Here is a 17,744-nt window from a genome sequence, read left to right on the forward strand (position 1 = left end):
TTAGGTTGATGCAAAAGTAATTGCAGTTTTTGCGATTACTTCTAATGTTGTATTAGGTTGTATTAATTGTATTAGGTTGGTGCAAAAGTCATTGTGGTTTTTGTCATTAATGGCAAAATGACTTTTGCACCAACCTAATACAACTGGGTAATGGATTTAACATGAAAGATATAAAAGTATTTTACCAAGTTCATTAAAAAAATTGTAATGAGGGCAAACCTGACACTTCATAGGTTTATAAATTCTATTTAATTTATTAAGACGTTTAACTTTTAAGAGTTTTTTGTTCGTAAGGATATCAGTAATTTGAATGATTCAAATATTAATTTTGTAAATGTTGAAAATATTTTGGAGGTTTTTGTTTTTTTTTTTTGGTTCAGAGAAAGCTGGCCCCTGAGTCCTCAGATTCACATCAACAATCCCCATCCAGACCCTTTTTCTTTTGAAGGTTATCCGAGGTCACCATCTGCATCTTGCCAAAGCCAGGACAGGAAGATGCATTCTTGCCTGGTTCTTTCTTCCCCTTCAGCCTTTCCCAACACACACCCATTAATTATCCTTCATTGTCCCACAGTAATTTCTCAGGGATCTAGTCCCATCTCTTTATTCCTTTACTCGTTCCCTGGGATATAATTACAGCCTGATAACCAGGCTATGACTACGGACTTATCCTCTTCCCATTCATTCAGAAGCAGAGACAGGCAAGGCTTTCTGAAATACAGGTTAGACAGATCATAAGATCCCCAGTTTAAGAGCCCTCAGCAGCTTCCCATGAGAACCCCAAAGACATCCAAATCTCCAAATGCCAGCCTGGCCCTTCTGCAGTGGAAGCCTGGGTGTGCAACATTTGCTGTCTTTCCTATTCCAGTAAACTGTATGCCTTTTATGGGCAGGGGAGGGAAAATGTCTTGTTCACTTTTATACCATCTGTTCTTTGCACAGTGCCTGGCCCATGAAATGGGCTCAGGAAAAGTTGAATAAATTAATGAACTACTAACTAATTATTTGCCTAGCTGATAGATTTCCAACTTTGATCTTCCAGTTGTTTGTTTATTCAAATAGGCCAGTAGTTTTCAGCTGGAGGCGATTTTGCACCCCCCCTAGAGATATTTGGCAATATCTGGAAACGTTTTGGGCTGTCATGTCTGGGAGGAGGCACGCTACTGTCATCTTCTGTGTAGAGGCCAAGGATGCTGCTAAACATTTTGCAATGCACAGGACACTCCCAACAAAGAATTATTTGGTGCAAAATACCAGTACTACCAATGGGGGGAACCCTGATACAGACTAAATTGTAAATTAAAAACGTATTTAGTATTTAGCAGATTATGTTCAATGTTTATTTCCAACAAAATATTTTATTGTGAGTTGCCCAAGCCTGCTCCATATTTTATAAAATGATTGTTTAGTAGGACTTTCTTTGTGTAATGCATTTTTATGTCTGGTGGTGAATGTAGATAATATAAGCTTTATATCAATGTTCCAATTAGCTCGCCTTTAAACACTGAAATACAACTTGTATTCTCCATTTATTCTCTAGATTTATAAGCAAAATAGATTTCATTTCTTTTTCATTTGTGTTGTACATTAAAATTAAACCTGTGCAGAAATATTGTCATCCTCATAGTTTTTCTCTTTGATGAACATATGTATTTGAGGATTGTGAGTTAGCTTACAAAGGTTGAGGGGAGTTCAGCAATAACACCACTAAAATAAGCAAAAAACAACAACAACCAAAAAAACATGGTCGCTATCACCTTGGAATGTAGTGTTCAGTATAAATCCCTAAACCAACAGGTTAATTTGAAGTAATTGTTTTGCTTTCAGAAATGGAGTTCAGCAGCTTCGATCTATTTATCTGGTGCAAGTGATTGAGAATGAATGGGCTTGGAGAATGAACAGGTTCACACGTACCAGGGGATGGATGGAGAATCAGTTATTATTCAAACAGCATGTAGGTGACTTATCCCAGTTGATCCAAGATGTATGTGTGTGTGTGTATATATATATATATATATATATATATGTGAACCAGGAACATCTAACCAGTAGTTCTCCTGGAAACAGAGGCATGCCTTACAAGGGTCACCCATTCAAATAAATGGGCTAGAGTGTTTGATTTGGGATTTCTTTTCTATGAGAGCTAAACAAAACGCAACTACTTTGTGATTTGTAAATTCCAAGTACAGATTTAGGCAGAACCCAGTTCTTGCTTAGAGCAGTCACTGTCAGGAGTATTAAAGTACTACTTGTGAGTAGAGGACTTAGTCCATGATTTAATTATTTAGGCCTCCATTGGTATAAATTGATGCTTCTGGACTTTTCATGGTTTCTTCTCTTTGACTACTAAACCTCTGTTAAATCCGTAGAATAATTTCAGCCATTAGCCAGTCTTATAGCTAATATCGTTACCCAAGACATGAGTAATTAACAAGTTGAAACATTTCCATGGCATTGACTCATAAGTGATGAGAATACCACTGGTTAGCTCAGTGCATTGCTTTATATGCGGCAAAGTGGAATTCTGTAGATAGAGGCATATATAGGTGATAAGGTTTGGCTGTGTCCCCACCCAAATCTCATCCTGAATTGTAGCTCCCATAATTCCCACATGTTGTAGGAGGCACCCAGTGGAGGTAATTGAATCATGGGGGTGGGTCTTTCCTGTGCTGTTCTCATGATAGTGAATAAGTCTCATGAGATCTAATGGTTATATAAAGGGGAGTTCCCTTACACAAGCTCTCTTTCCTGTGGCCATGTAGGATGTGACTTTGTTCCTCCTTTGCCTTCTAGCATGCTTATGAGGCCTCCCCAGCCTGTGGAACTGTGAGTCAATTAAACGTCTTTCTTTTATAAATTACCCAGTATTGGGTATGTCTTTATTAGCAGCGTGAGAACAGACTAATACAATAGGTATGCAGATACATATTTATCGAGGAGGTGGCTTTACATTTCCTTTCTGTTGCTGATTTTTGTGAACTAGCCTAAACTTGACTAATGTTTTCCCTGTGTTATATACCCATATATATAAATACACACAAACACACACACACACACACATACACACACACAACAGTGTTAACCTGACCTACCAACAAAGTAAGGCAGTCTACTGTTCAGGTTGTGGTTTTGCTGTCACTGTTCTTCTAGATATATTATACTTAAAAAAAAATAAAAGTTTCGGCTGAGCGCCATCACTCCTGTGTTCATTAGTTTTAGAGAAACGATAGATGATCTTCATTGGATCATGTAGGTTAATGTGCGGTGACTGTGGGTGGTAGGGTAATTACAACTCATGAACGCTGCACCGTTTGGGAATTCGTTAGACAAAACTATGTGGATGAGATCTTTTCATGCCTAATTCCTACAGCTATTTTGGAATTTATCTAAGGAAATTGTCTTCCAACTTTAGGAAAAGGTCAGAAAGAATTAAGCCTCTGGAAGTCTCAGGGTGTGGTTTATCCCTGCCTTTTAGAAGTGAGATAAATCCCACTACTTCTCAGATGGAGTGAGAGCCAAAGTAAAGCAAACCAGAAAACGTGGAACCAGATTATCTGAAAGGAGCCGGGTGCATACCAACTTTTTTTTTTTTTTTTTTTTGACATCACCGTATATTTTTAGTTGCTTGTGAGTATCAAAGAGAGTTTTGGGAGAAAATCAACTGCTGAGGGTTAAGGACTGAATCCAGATTGAAGACTTTATCTAATCATCAGCACCTTGGATTACCAAATTTGTGTGCATCCTTTGGAGTTGAAAGTACCATGAATAAAGGCAAGAAAAAAGAGGGCAGTCAAATAAATAGAAATTGGAGATCATGTAGCCAAAGCTCCTCAAACCTATGTACATTTGGACTTTGAATTGTCAATGGGCACACCAAGATTTTTGAAGCTTTGACTGTCTATAAGGCTTGGTGGCCTCACCAGCATGCCTAGTTGCACTGCATGTTATTGATATACAGCAGCTGGGGCCATTCTCCTAAGCATGATACAGAAGCATACATTTGTGTGAAGTGGTTTTTTAAGCAAAGCCCACACGTGGGACATCTCTCCTTGTGGCTTTAAGCACTGATTTCCCTGCCACAGTCTTAGTCACAGGGCACGTCAGTGCTCATGTTGCTCATCTCCATCTTTATGTGTATTAAGATCATGTAGACATCTTCAAATGTAGACTCTGATTCCAGCAGTCTGCTACATTTCTTGGCAACTCTCAAATGTGCTGATGGTAGTAATTTTGTAACCAAAATGGGGTAGCCAGGCTCTACCCAGCCTGCATAGGGCTTTTGATTTAACCTAGGTTTAGCTGTTCATCTGCTATATTTCCTCTTTGCCTACATTCTAAAAGATCTCAGATGAGAATTTCTCCTACGCTCGTCAAGACTGTCGTTTAGGTTTTGCCATCAGTATTTAGGTTTCCCACACCACCCACAGTCACCCCACATTGGCCTACATCGTCCAACGAAGATCATGTGTACACCCTACACATTTGCTAATAATTCATTTACAAAATGTTTTGTTATATAAAAACTGGGAGAAACTAAATTTACTTATAGAGACCATCTGGTAATGCAGTAGTTTTGTAATTCTATTTCTCATAGCATGCTCAAATTAAGGATTCATTTTAGAGCGTTTCTTGCTATCACACTGCCACATCTCACTGCTAAAGGTAGAGCTACCGATTTCTGGAATTTTACTGCTATGTTTTTATTTATGTTGGACAGCGGAAGCAGATTTCCAAAGAGGTTATGATAACAGATAAATTGGCCACCAGGATGCTCCCATGAATGCCTGGCACCTCACGATGCAAAGAAGCAGTGCATTTCTTTCTTTTGTTGTCTGTTTCCCTCTCCTTTTTTACATCACATAATTAACAATCAATTACTATGCATCTAGTGCCTGCCAGTGACTATGATTGATATAAAGACAAAAAGACATAGTAATATCTTCCATGCCCTCAAAAAACTCACTGTTTATGAGAAATTAAGACACATATAAACAAAAGCACAAAAGTGATACATCTTGGTGAGGATTAGGATAGATATAATATTAGCTGACAGATACAAAAGAGAAAAAGGGAGGAAAAAAAAGGGAGAGAAAGAGAAAGACAGGGCACTGATTCTGTTCCAGGCACTGTGTGTCATTCTTTACGTGCTGAATGTTTTTATCCTTAAAACAGCCCTACACAATAGGTCTGATTGCTTTCAGTTTTTATCACGTTTCATAAAAGAGAGAACTTGCTTTTATACTCACACAGCAAAACAACAGAAATGCCGGAATTCAAATCCAGGCCTGTCTGATTTACAAGTCATGTTTTTAATTGCTCAGGAACCTTACCTCCTATCATAAAAATCAGAACTCAAGGCAGGATGCCTGAATCTGCTTGGAGATGTCACAAAGGTTGGGTGAGGGTACAGAGATCACACTAGGAGGAAAACTGGTTAAGCTAACAGGACTCCACTTGGACAGGAAGGGATTGTTGAAAAGCATTTCACCTTCAGAGAGGAGCCTGCAGTTTGCTGTGGTGCGGCGTTCATTGATTCTACAGTATGATGTGATGTAGGGTGGACAGATCCAGGTATGCTTACAGGTCTACACCAGAACATTCCTTAAATCCTTTGCTGAGGAGCATGAACTTAGTCCCTCAGGAGGACACCTTAGGAGGTTTCACAATGAGAGATGCCATTGAAAGTTGAGTGTGGGAGTACAGTGAAAGGTTGAAGCTGCACAGACACGATGCAGTTAAGCAGTGACCGCCACAGCCAGGCAAGTGCCGGGGAGGACTTGTACAAGGAGGGCTCTGGGTCAGATACAGCAATGCATGGAGAGACATGAAAGCCTATATATTTGTGACAGTGATATCAGATTACAGTAGACTTAGGAGTTAATGAGGGTCAATGGATTGTTGTGGTCAATACATGAATGAGCAAAGTGAATTAGTAAATCCTTAATTTTTTTCCTGTTCTAAAATTGTAAATATATATTTAGAAACCCTAAACTAACTTGTAAAATGTGGGAAAAGAAGAGTTGATGAAGTTGTTTACTTTTATCTGCATTTAGCTAAAAAGCATTAGGAATAAACAACATGTATTTTTGGAGAAAATATCTACAGAAATTAAAATGCAGAATTTTATGAAATTGTTGGAAACATTAAGATTGCATTTTTTTTTTTTTTTTGAGACGGAGTTTCGCTCTTGTTGCCCAGGCTGGAGTGCAATGGCGCGATTTCAGCTCACAGCAACCTCCGCCTCCTGGGTTTAAGCCATTCTCCTGCCTCAGCCTCCGGAGTAGCTGGGATTACAGGCATGCGCCACCACACCCGGCTAATTTTGTATTTTTAGTAGAGATGGGGTTTCTCCATGTTGGTCAGGTGCATTTTTTGTTTTACATTTAATCTAGACATTATTATCAGGTAGATATCTCATTGATACACAGTGTTGAACATTTTTAGTAGTAAAATAAATAATTTTAAAAGTTGATATATATAGTATTACTGTATTTTATTGGTTTAGAGATATTTGAATGCTGCTGTCAGTATATCTGAATAATTGGTGGATGGTAGTCAACATTTGATAAGACAGACTATGGTCGGTTGTCATTTCTAACATAAATCTGAGCCCAAAGTCTGTCATATGTAAGTTTTATAGTGCTACAAAGGAGCAACAACAAATGCTTGAAAGCATTTTTTATAATTTTTGGGGGAAATATATTGACAAGAAATGTAAAATTAAAATAAAAATTTATTTCGTGATCTCAGTTTTGCTAAGAAAAATGGTATTAGCTTCAAGTTTAGGCTTAAAAGAGTTTCCAAAGTGCTGGAGGGGTTAAGAGGAGGCAGGCCAGTTCTCCAGACAGCCAAATTATTTTTTCCAAATTAAAAAAGTCACAGTTGGGGGTATTTTTACTCACTATAACATAAAGTCTAGAAGTATTTCTCGTGTATTTGTACTTTAAATTACAGATGCTCCTTGACTTAAGATGAGGTTATGTCCCAATAAACTCATTATAAGTTGATAATGTCTTAAGCTGAAAGAATATATAATACACTTCACCTACAGAACATCATAGCTTTGTCTAGCCTTCCTTAAACATGCTCAGAACACTTACAGTAGCCTACGGTTACGGTTGGGCGAAGTCATCTGACACAGTGCCTATTTTATTAAAGTGTTGAATATTGAAAATCTCATGTAATTTACTGAATACTGAAAGTGAAAAACAGAATGGTCATATGAGTATGCAAAGGGTTTCTACTGATTTTGTGTCACATTGTAAAGTCAAAAATTCGTAAGTTCAATCATCATAAGTCGGGACCATTTATAATTATTTAGTGCTAAAATATTTATGAGAGAGCCACTCTGATAAATAACACACAGAGTGTCTCTGTGTGCTTTCTCAGCATCTCAATTCTTAGAAACAGGGTTGCTAGAAATGTGTGTGTGTGTGTGTGTGTGTGTGTGTGTGTGTGTGTGCTCACATTTATATTCATAGATAGCCCAAATTCATTCCCAGGAGTTCTACCAGTTTGAGGTCCAACCAGGACAGTGTGAGAGTGTACCAGTTAAGTATACGTGTTGCTAAACTTCTAAAGATTTTTGCCAATATGATAGATAAGAAATGGTGTCTAAATGCAGTTCATGTATTTTGCTCATTTCAAAAATTCATTTATTTGCAACTTGTTTTCTCTGTTTTCAGTGTTCTTTCCCCTATAGAGTTTTTTTTTAACATGTGAAGAATATTAACCCTTTATCTTTCATGTTGCAAATAATTTCACTCAGTCTGTTTTTTCTTGACTTTACTTACGGATATTCTTTTACCCTGAAAAATATTTCTTATCAAAAAATGTACTGTCAAGTTTATTGACTTTTCATTGCATTTGTATATTGAGTCATACTTAGAAACCATTTCCCCACACCAAGTTTAGAGAAGAATTAATTTCCTTTTTAGTATGATTGTATGCATATAGATATGTGTTTATGTATATGTGAATATATGTTTATATATCTGATTCATTTGGGGTTTATTCTCATGTATGGTTTGAAGTATGGATCTAAATTCATCATTTTTCCAGATAGCTACCCATTTACACCATTCATTAAAACATCCAACGATTTCAGTTGTCACTTTTATCATATACTAAATTTTCTTATGTGTTTGAATCTATTTCTAGATGTTCAATTCTATTTCACTAGTTTTACTGTGTTTTCATGCACCCATAATGCATTAGGTTCTTCATCAATGCTTTACTGTGTATTTAAAATCTAAAACAGCTTGACCCCTACCTGAGTTACCCAAACTCTGAGGTTAAGGGCACAGACCTTGAGAATGCCAAGTCTTCCCAATATTTCTGACACCAGCTGCGAGTGTGAGGGTTTCCTGAAATCATCCTCAGGTTTGATGTTTGCTAGAAAAAGTCACAGAATTCTCTGAGACCTTTTATAATCATGGTTACATGTAGCATGTTAAGGATACAAATTAGAGCCAGCCAAAGGAAGAGACATGTGGGGCAAAGTCTGAGGTATGCAAACAGAGATCCTGGTAATCCTTTCCCTGTGGAATCATCCACCTTGTTATCTCCTCTTGGCCACAATGTGTGACAACACATATAGAATACTGCCATCCAGGGAAGCCCACAGGAACTTCGCAGTCCAGGTGTGTGTGTGTGTGTGTGTGTGTGTGTGTGTGTGTGTGTGTGTGTGTGTATATATATTTTTTTTTGAGACAGGGTCTTATCTGTCACCCAAACTTCAGGGCAGTGGTGCAATCACAGCTCACCGCCATCTCGACCTCCCAGGCTCCATCAGTCCTTCAACCTCAGCCTCCTGAGTAGCTGGGATTACAGGTGCTTGCCACCACTCAGCTAATTTTTGCTTTTTTGTTGAGATTGGGTTTTGCCATGATGTACAGGCTAGTATCAAGTTCCTGGATGTCCAAAGTTTGTACTGGAGCTTATTGATTAATTGGCCAACTGGTTGAACTCAGTTTCCCCTTCTCCTCACCTTAGAGATCAGGCCGATTACACATGATATGAAGGGTCCACTATTAAAAACAAAGACACTCTTATCACTTGAGAAATTCCAAGTGTTTAGAGTTTATGTCCCAGGAGCCAGAACTGTCTGAGGATGAGGTTGATTTCTTCCTTCACAGCCCCTTCTAGCTGTCCACACACTTTCTGCCAGGGGTTTTTATTGCTCTTCTTGAACATTGATTACTCCATATGAACTTCAGTCAGCTAAACTAACTCCCTAAAATATTCTGTTAGCCGGCTGCAGCGGCTCACACCTGCAATCCTGGCACTTTGGGAGGCCAAGGTGGGCAGAGTCAGGAGTTCGAGACCAGCCTGGCCAATATGGTAAAACCCCGTCTCTACTAAAAATACAAAAATTAGCCAGGCATGGTGGCATGTGCCTATAGTTCCAGCTACTCAGGAGGCTGAAGCCAAAGAATTGCTTGAACCCAGGAGGCAGAGGTTGCAGTGAGCCGAGAGATCATGCCACTGCACTCCAGTCTGGGCGACAGAGCAAGACTCCGTCTCAAAAAAAAAAAAAAAAAAAAAGGTTTTGTTGAGCCATCCTACTCAAGAAAGGGGATACTTTTTCATTTCTTAAATCTGTGTTTGTGTCTTTCAGGAGGATTTTTAAGTAGACCCATTCTAGGTTTTGCACATTTCTTGTTACATTTATTCTTAAGTATGTTATCTTCTTTGGTGTTATTGTATGTGGCACTTTTTCTAACATTATATACACTAAATTATTTCTTTAAGGATATATTAAGGCTCTTGATTTCTGTATGTTCTGTATGTTATTTTATTTTATTTTATTTTATTTTATTTTATTTTTGTATTTTTAATAGAGACGGGGTTTCGTCATGTTGGCCAGGCTGGTCTCGAACTCCTGACCTCAAGTGATCTGCCTGCCTCGGCCTCCCAAAGTGCTGGGATTACAGGCGTGAGCCACTGTGCCTGGCCAATTGTATGTTAATTTCTTCCAGCTCCTTTATTGAATTATTTTATTGTTTTAAGTAATTGTGTTATTTGCTAAGGATTATTGTTTCTCTAAGGTTTTTCAGATTTCTTCTACAAAATAATGGAAATGTTATTTCTCTTTTTAATTTTTATACCTATAGTTGGCTTATTTGTTCTGCTTTCAATAGCAAACACTTCTAGTTTAAGATTAAATAGCAGTGGAGATATTTTGCATCCATGCTTGCATTTATGGAATGAATCCTACTTGGCCATGGCATATTATTTTCTTAATGTGGCGTTGGATTACGTTTGATAGTATTTTATTTAGTATTTAATCACCAATATTTATAGCTGATATTGGTCTGAAAAATTATTTTATTATTCACTGGCATACTTTTTAGTTGGCATCTAAATTATTTCATACGCCTATAGATGTATTCAATTATACCTTCATATGATAGTAACTTGAAACTGTTATCCATGTAGATGACCAAAGTCTCCTTTAGCATTTGGCCATTTGACATTATTATTCTTTCCTTCTTGAATTAATATTTCCTTTTACTTTTGTCGAAGAATGTTCATTTTAATATAATAAATATTTTGAAAATGTTTTTATGATATCAATATCCCTCTGAAATCATATATGGATATAAACCGAAAATTAAATTTTTTCTAATTCCTAAAACAACATGTTCTTATATGTTAACGTTTTCCTGTGACTTATTTAGAATTATATATTTTTAAATTATACTTAGTAAAAACATAACTATATACATAATAAATATGTCCTGAGACATACATTTTTATGGTGGAAAATTGGGGACAGGAAAATAACAGGAAACTGCATAGGCCTCTAAATACCCAATATTCTCATGGTCCAATCATCTATTGTTTTACTAATCAATTGGGGACCAATCTATTGTGTGCCTCCTGGAATCAATGCTACTATGTCAGCCAGTCACTTGATCCAGAAATTCCAGCACTGTTAATTAATCTGCAGTAGATAAGTACCATCTGGTAATTGCAACTCACAGGAGTTGAAGTCATAGATGCTTTTACCGAAGTCTAGTTCACTCATGCTTGCCTGGGACAAATGAGCTTACCTCATTTAAGCTCTGAATAACATGCTCCTACCACACCCAATTCGTATACTTGATTTTTAAAATTCTGACTGCATTATAGTGCAATTTTACTCATTCCCAGGAATAAATACATATATAATGAAATATGTTCTTTATATAGAAAAATATAGATTGTTGGAATGGATTTTGAAGTTTCACATATGTGTTTTATTTTTCTGTGTTTGCTTATATATGCGTGTAATATACACCTAAAAGGTTACAATATACACCTAATATAATTTAATATACAACTGAAATTATGGATCTATTAATATAAAAAGAAAGAACATTAGAGGAGAAATAATTGAAGGTAAAATTAACTTTGAAATTACTCTTAATTGATTCAATAGATAACTGTTCAAAATAATAATATCAACAGTATATTAGATTATCATAGCTTATGGGTAAGTGAAACAAATGATAGCAATATTATAAAGGAAGGGAGGAAGGAATTGCAAATCCTCTTCTGAACTACCCATGAAATGGGATAATATGATTTTCAGGTATATTTAGATTAGTGTAACTCTGGTATAAATTCATGGTCAACCACTGCAGTTGTTTAAAAAGAAGAATAATTGGGCTGGGTGCAGTGGCTCACGCCTGTAATCCCAGCACTTTGGAAGGCCAAGGCAGGTGGATCACCTGAGGTCGGGAGATCAAGACCAGCCTGACCAACATGGGGAAACCCTGTCTCTACTGAAAATACAAAATTAGCCGGGCGTGGGGGCACATGCCTGTAATCCCAGCTACTCAGGAGGCTGAGTCAATAGAATCCCTTGAACCCGGCAGGCAGAGGTTGTGGTGAGCCGAGATCACACCATTGCTCTCCAGCCTGGACAACAAGAGCAAAACTCCCTCTCAAAAAAAAAAAAAAGAAAAAAGAAAAAGAAAAATTGATATGTTCAGAGAGGAGAGAAAAATGGACATATATAAAATGCTCAGTTTAAACCAGAGAAGAGAGAAAATGAGGGAGGATTAGAAACAACAACAAAAAACAAGTACTACAGATGCAAAACAGTTACGAACTTGGTAGATTTTAATCTCACTATATCCTTAGTTGTTTTAAATGCAAATGGTCTAGATACAGCAATTAAATTCAGACACTGTCAGAATGGGTTTTAAAAAAAGAAGATCCAACCATATGGTGTCTACAAAACCCATTTTAAATATAGAGACAGATTGAAAATAAAGGGACAGAGAATGATATGCTAATACTAATCAAAAGAAAGCAGGAGTAGCTAGCTATACATTAATTACAGACAGAACAGATTTCAGAGAAAGAAAAATTATCAGTGATGAAGAAGAATGTTACATTAAGATAAAGTGGCCAATTCGTCAAGGAGGCATAACATGTTTAATGTATGTGGACCTGACTCACAATACATGAGACAAAATCTGAAAGCTGAAAAATATCAAAATATTTGCAGATTAAACACCACACTGGTAAATAACACATGGCTCAAAAAAGAAGTCTGAAGAGAAATTTAAAAATACTTTTAAGTATACGAAAGTGAAAGTAAAACATCAAAATTTTTGATATATAGCAAAAGCACTATTTATAGGGAAAAATCATAGCATTGAAATACATATATTAGACCAGGCGTGGTGACTCATGCCTGTAATCCCAGCGCTTTGGGAGGCTGAAGCAGACAGATCACAAGGCCAGGAGTTTGAGACCAGCCTGGTCAATATGGTGAAACCTCGTCTCTACTAAAAATACAAAAATTAGCTGGGCACAGTGGTGCGTGCCTATAATCCCAGCTACTCGGGAGGCTGAGGCAGGAGAATCACTTGAACCCTGGAGGTGGAGGTTGCGGTGAGCCGCGATCGCGCCACTGCACTCCAGCCTGGGCGACAGAGCAAGACTCTGTCTCAAAAAAAAAAAAAAAACAAAAAAAAAACATATATTAGAAAAGAAGAAAGACTCGAGTAGCTGAAGCTCTATTTTACGAAACTTAAAAAAAAAGCAGAAGAAAAAAGATCATAAAAAATGAGAGCAGAACACAATGAAATTAAAATTTAAGAAAAATAGAGAAAACCAAATGAAGGCAAAAGCTGGTTCTTTGAATGGATCAATACAATTGATAAGCTTCTAGCTAGTCTAACCAACGAAAACACAAAGAAGACACAAATTATCAATGTCAGAAATGAAAGGAAAGAATTACTACTAACTCCACAGACATTAAAAGGATAATGAAGGAATATTATGAACAACTCTATGCCCACAAATTTGGTAATTTGGATAAAATAGGCCAACTCCTTGAAAGGCAAAATCTACCAAAACCTGTACAAAGAGAAATAGATAATTTGAATAGGCTTATATATATATAAAAGTAGTTGAATCAATAATAACTTCCCCAAAATTACTGGTTTCCAAGTGTTCACAGTTGAATTCTACTCAACATTTAAAGAAGAAATATTTCAATTTTCTACAGTCTGTTTAAAAAAAGGCAAACAGAAGAAATCTTCTTAACTCATTCTCTGAGGCCACCATTATCCTGACACCAAAACCAAGTAAAGACATTACAAGAAAAGAAAAACAGATGCCTATATTTTTCAAAGACATAGATACAGAAATTTCTAAACAAAATATTAGAAAATTGAATCCAGTATTAGGAAATTGAATCCAATAATGTATTAACAGAATTATACATCGTGATTACCAAATGGAACTTATTCCAGGTATACAAGAGTGGCTCAACATTTAAAAATTCATTAATGAAAAGAAAAATATCATATGATTATATCAATATATGCACAAAAATTGACAAAATCCAAAACCCATTTGGGATAAATATCCTCAGCAAACTAGGAATAGAAGGGAACTTTCTCAAGTTGATAAAGGGTATCTTAAAGAAAAACCTTTAGCTAACATCATGCTTAATGGCGAGAAAATATATTTACTCTTAAGATCAAGAAGCAAGCAAGATGCCTCCTCTTCTATTCAACAATGTAATGGAAGTTCTAGTTAATGCAATAATACAAGGAGAGGAAATATAACATGTACAGATTAAGGGGGAAGAAATAAAACTGTCTTTCTTCACAAATGATATGATTATTTATGTATAAAATCTCAAAATCAATGTAATCTTGTAACTAATAAGTTACGGCAAGGCCACAGACTACAAGGTTAAAATGCAAAAGCCAGTCAGTTTCCTATAGGCCAACAATAATTATTGGAATTATTGAAATTTGGAATTAAAAACCTAATTAGCACCACAAAAGTGAAATATTTAGGAAAAAAACCTAACAAAATATGTATAAGAGCTACACAAGAAAAATACAAAACTCTAATGAAAATAAAAAGTCTAAATAAATGGAATGATATTCCATATTCATGGATAGAATGACTCAATGTCAGTTCTTCCAAAATTGATCTAGAGATTCAACACAATTTCCTTGATAATTACTGAGCTAATTGCTTCATAAGTCAAAGGTAGTGTTGGGGTGCAGAGAATAATACCCCAAAGTATGAGGTGCTTTGGCATGCTGAACATTTTTGAAATAAAGGAAATTGGAAGGCCTTAGAAGCTGCCTTAGAACCAAGGACTTTCTAACCCTCCCTTGTTTCTCCCCACATCCTCAAGCGCAGGGAGGGGTTCTCTCTGGAAGTTCCTTCCTCTGACTGAGGAAAACTTCTTCTGAAAGAAATGCAGTTGTCTTAAGATGCCTTCCCTAGGAATCTCATCAACTAACTGGGAAAGTTTAATACTGGAGAAGAGAAAAAACTAAATGTAGTCACCATGCCCAGACAGACTTTTCCTCTGTTTTTCAGAGGGCAGCTCGTAGAGATTACCTAAGAAACTTTATCTGCATAATAAAACAATCTTTGTTCACAGTGGATTTCTACCCCACACCTTCTGTCATAACTTATAGGTCCCATTTAGCTTCCAAAGACAATCATTTACAAACTATTTTCTGCTCTTTGGGCTCATTCAATTCCCCAAAATTATTATTTACTACTCCTCAAAATTGCCTACACCTCCCATTTCTGTCTCCTCATAAATAGGATATTTAAGCCTCAACCATCTGGCCCTTCTTTGAGTCTTATATTTTATATGGCTCCCATGCTTATATACATTAATACATGTGTATGCCTTTTCTCTTATTAATCTGTATATTGTCAGTTGTTTAGCACTTTAGAGGGAAGGGAAAATTCCTTTTGCCCCTACAGTAGTTTCTTATTGCAAAGGATGTGACAAAAAAAAAAAAAGATAGATTCACACAAAATCACTGCATCTTACAAGAGTCCACTGGTAAGAGAAATGGAAATGCAAAAGACACTTGCTCCATTGGAGAAAAAAATTGTCAGTTTCATCTCTTTGTCTACACATTTTGAATTTGTTCTCATGTTGAAATAACAATACAGTAATTATTCACTCTCATATTTATGCTATCATGTTCAGTCTTTTGAATATGCCAGATGTCAGCAATTGGCAGCCCGTTGCCAAATTCAGTTTGATTCCTGTTTTTGTAAATAAAGTTTTATTGGATCATATCCCAGGTTATTGATTTGTGTATCATCTGTGGCTGCTTTTGTGCTAGTGGCAAGTTGAGTAGCTCCGACCGTGACCACGTGGCTTGCAAAGCCAAATACGTTTACTATCTGACTCTTTACGGAAAATATTTACAGATCCCTGGCATTTATAATTTTTAGAAAACCTTCAGCACCCACAGGAAATGTGTAGCAGAAGTACAGCTGGTTTGTTAAGTTCAGGACTGCCCTAACAGGGATACTGTAGCTTTGTTTTAAGTTGTGCTAAAGAAAGTACAAAAAGTATATTTATGGTTGGCTGTGAAGAAGACTCAAAGTAAAACATTTTTATGCAATACATATCAATGTCCGTTTCACAATGGTTTAATTTATGCTGTAACAGTGTGTGGTGCTAAAGTTGTTTTATAAAAATCATTTTATTGCAATTATAATTCTATTATACTTAATGGATGGTTGTGCCAGCCAAAAAACCTACTCTACTAAAAATAGAGTTTTAAAGATAGAATGGATCTTAGACATAATTGGATTCTTTTTTCAAGAGGGAAAATCATACTATAGAAATTAAGATTTTTTCTAATGACCATACCGTGATTGAATATCACTTTACCTCTGAACCCGCCTGAACATATTCTTGAAAGAAATATGAAAGTAGTTCAATATTGGACCCAGTGTCATTGAACCCAACCTGAGGGTCTACAGGCAATTTTTTGGTATTTGACTGATTGCCTACTATATTTTTCCTTGTTATTTTTCTTCTTCATTTGGTGGTAATCTAATAAATAATGAAGCATGCCCTGCATCATCAAGATGGCTAACTTTCCATGTGACCCATTATGAGGTCTGCTACCTTTGTCTGTGTTTCCAATTGTTTGGTGCCAAATAATGCCCTTTAATTGTTGAAGGTAGTAAAAAAAAGAACCATGGATGAGGGGTGCCAGAATATGCCACCTCAAAATATGCCTCTTTGATATATGGATTATTTTGAGCTAAAGATCATTGAGAATCAGCAGACACAGGAAAACCTTTAGAAACAGGGCACAAGATTTTGTTTCATATGTAAATTTACATGGGTAAAGAAAATATCCATTTGTCAAAGATATCTCCTTCTCCAACTATCAGCAAGAGAATAATTCTTTTTTTTTTTTGAGATGGAGTCTCACTCCGTAGCCAGGCTGGAGTGCAGTGTCGCACGATCTTGGCTCAATGCAACTTCTGCCTCTCAGGTTCAAGCTATTCTCCTGCCTCAGTCTCCTGAGTAGCTGGGAGTACAGGCGCGTGCCACCATGCCCAGCTAATTTTTGTATTTTTAGTAGAGATAGGGTTCCACCATGTTGGTCAGGATGGTCTCGATCTTTTAACCTCGCGATCTGCCCAGCCTCAGTCTCCCAGAGTGCTGGGATTACAGGTATGAGCCGCTGCTCCCGGCCAGCAAGAGAATAATTCTAAACAACTGTTATTTAAATGATTTAAATCTGCATGAGAAGCCTTACTAATCAACCCTTGCTTACTACACTTTACCTGGTCATCTTTCCACAACTTGCCTCCCCCACTGGGAAACCCAAAGTCCTGTTTGTTTTGTTTAGCCTAAGATGTTATATCAGCCCAAATCCGACCACACCTTAGAGTTAATCATCCTTGTCTGCTCCCATGTATACATGTGTAAACTAGAAATACAATCCTAAATGCGCCACCAATTGAATGAACCCCTTTTGGCCAAGAGGACCCCAGCAAAACCTTAAAAACTGAATTACTGGCCATGACAGGAAGGGGAGTCAACACACCTCATCATAACCCCTCCATTTTGGAGTTTAGGCACAGCAACTGACCAGGACTGATATTAAAATAGACATCATAAGACTGACAAAGCAGACTCATTGTGGCAGTAAGATACCAAATTATAAATAAGACCTATGGCCAGGCCAGACAATGGTTAAGTCATGCCTGTAGGGCATCAACCTTGCTACACAGCATCCTTATCTTAAAGATGCCTTTCTGCTGACTCCAAGTTTGAGACAGAGCCTTGCTCTTTAACCAATTACAAATTAAAGAATCTCTGAATCCACCTATGATCTGTAAGCCCCCTCTGTAAGCTATCTCACCTTTTGGGGCTGGAACAATGTATACCTTCTATGTACTGATTTATATTTTTCCCTTTAATTTATGTCTCCCTGAAG

At 36.8% G+C, this 17,744-nt stretch overlaps 1 long non-coding RNA gene across 4 annotated transcripts in view, besides 1 other annotated feature; it reads left to right on the forward strand.

Moving 5' to 3' along the window:
- LOC107985675 (uncharacterized) overlaps nucleotides 1-17,744 on the forward strand; it is a 528,885-nt gene that overhangs the window by 160,715 nt on the left and 350,426 nt on the right. The window lies entirely within an intron of this gene.
- Nucleotides 16,765-17,372: an enhancer, noted in NCBI's record as "OCT4-NANOG hESC enhancer chrX:8073020-8073627 (GRCh37/hg19 assembly coordinates)". NCBI's record gives its function as "activates a minimal SCP1, AML or CMV promoter by ChIP-STARR-seq in primed H9 embryonic stem cells {active_cell/tissue: H9 hESC(primed)}" and the evidence as "EXISTENCE:reporter gene assay evidence [ECO:0000049][PMID:30033119]".

This window comes from Homo sapiens, chromosome X, assembly GCF_000001405.40.
Source record: "Homo sapiens chromosome X, GRCh38.p14 Primary Assembly".
Taxonomy (NCBI): domain Eukaryota; kingdom Metazoa; phylum Chordata; class Mammalia; order Primates; family Hominidae; genus Homo; species Homo sapiens.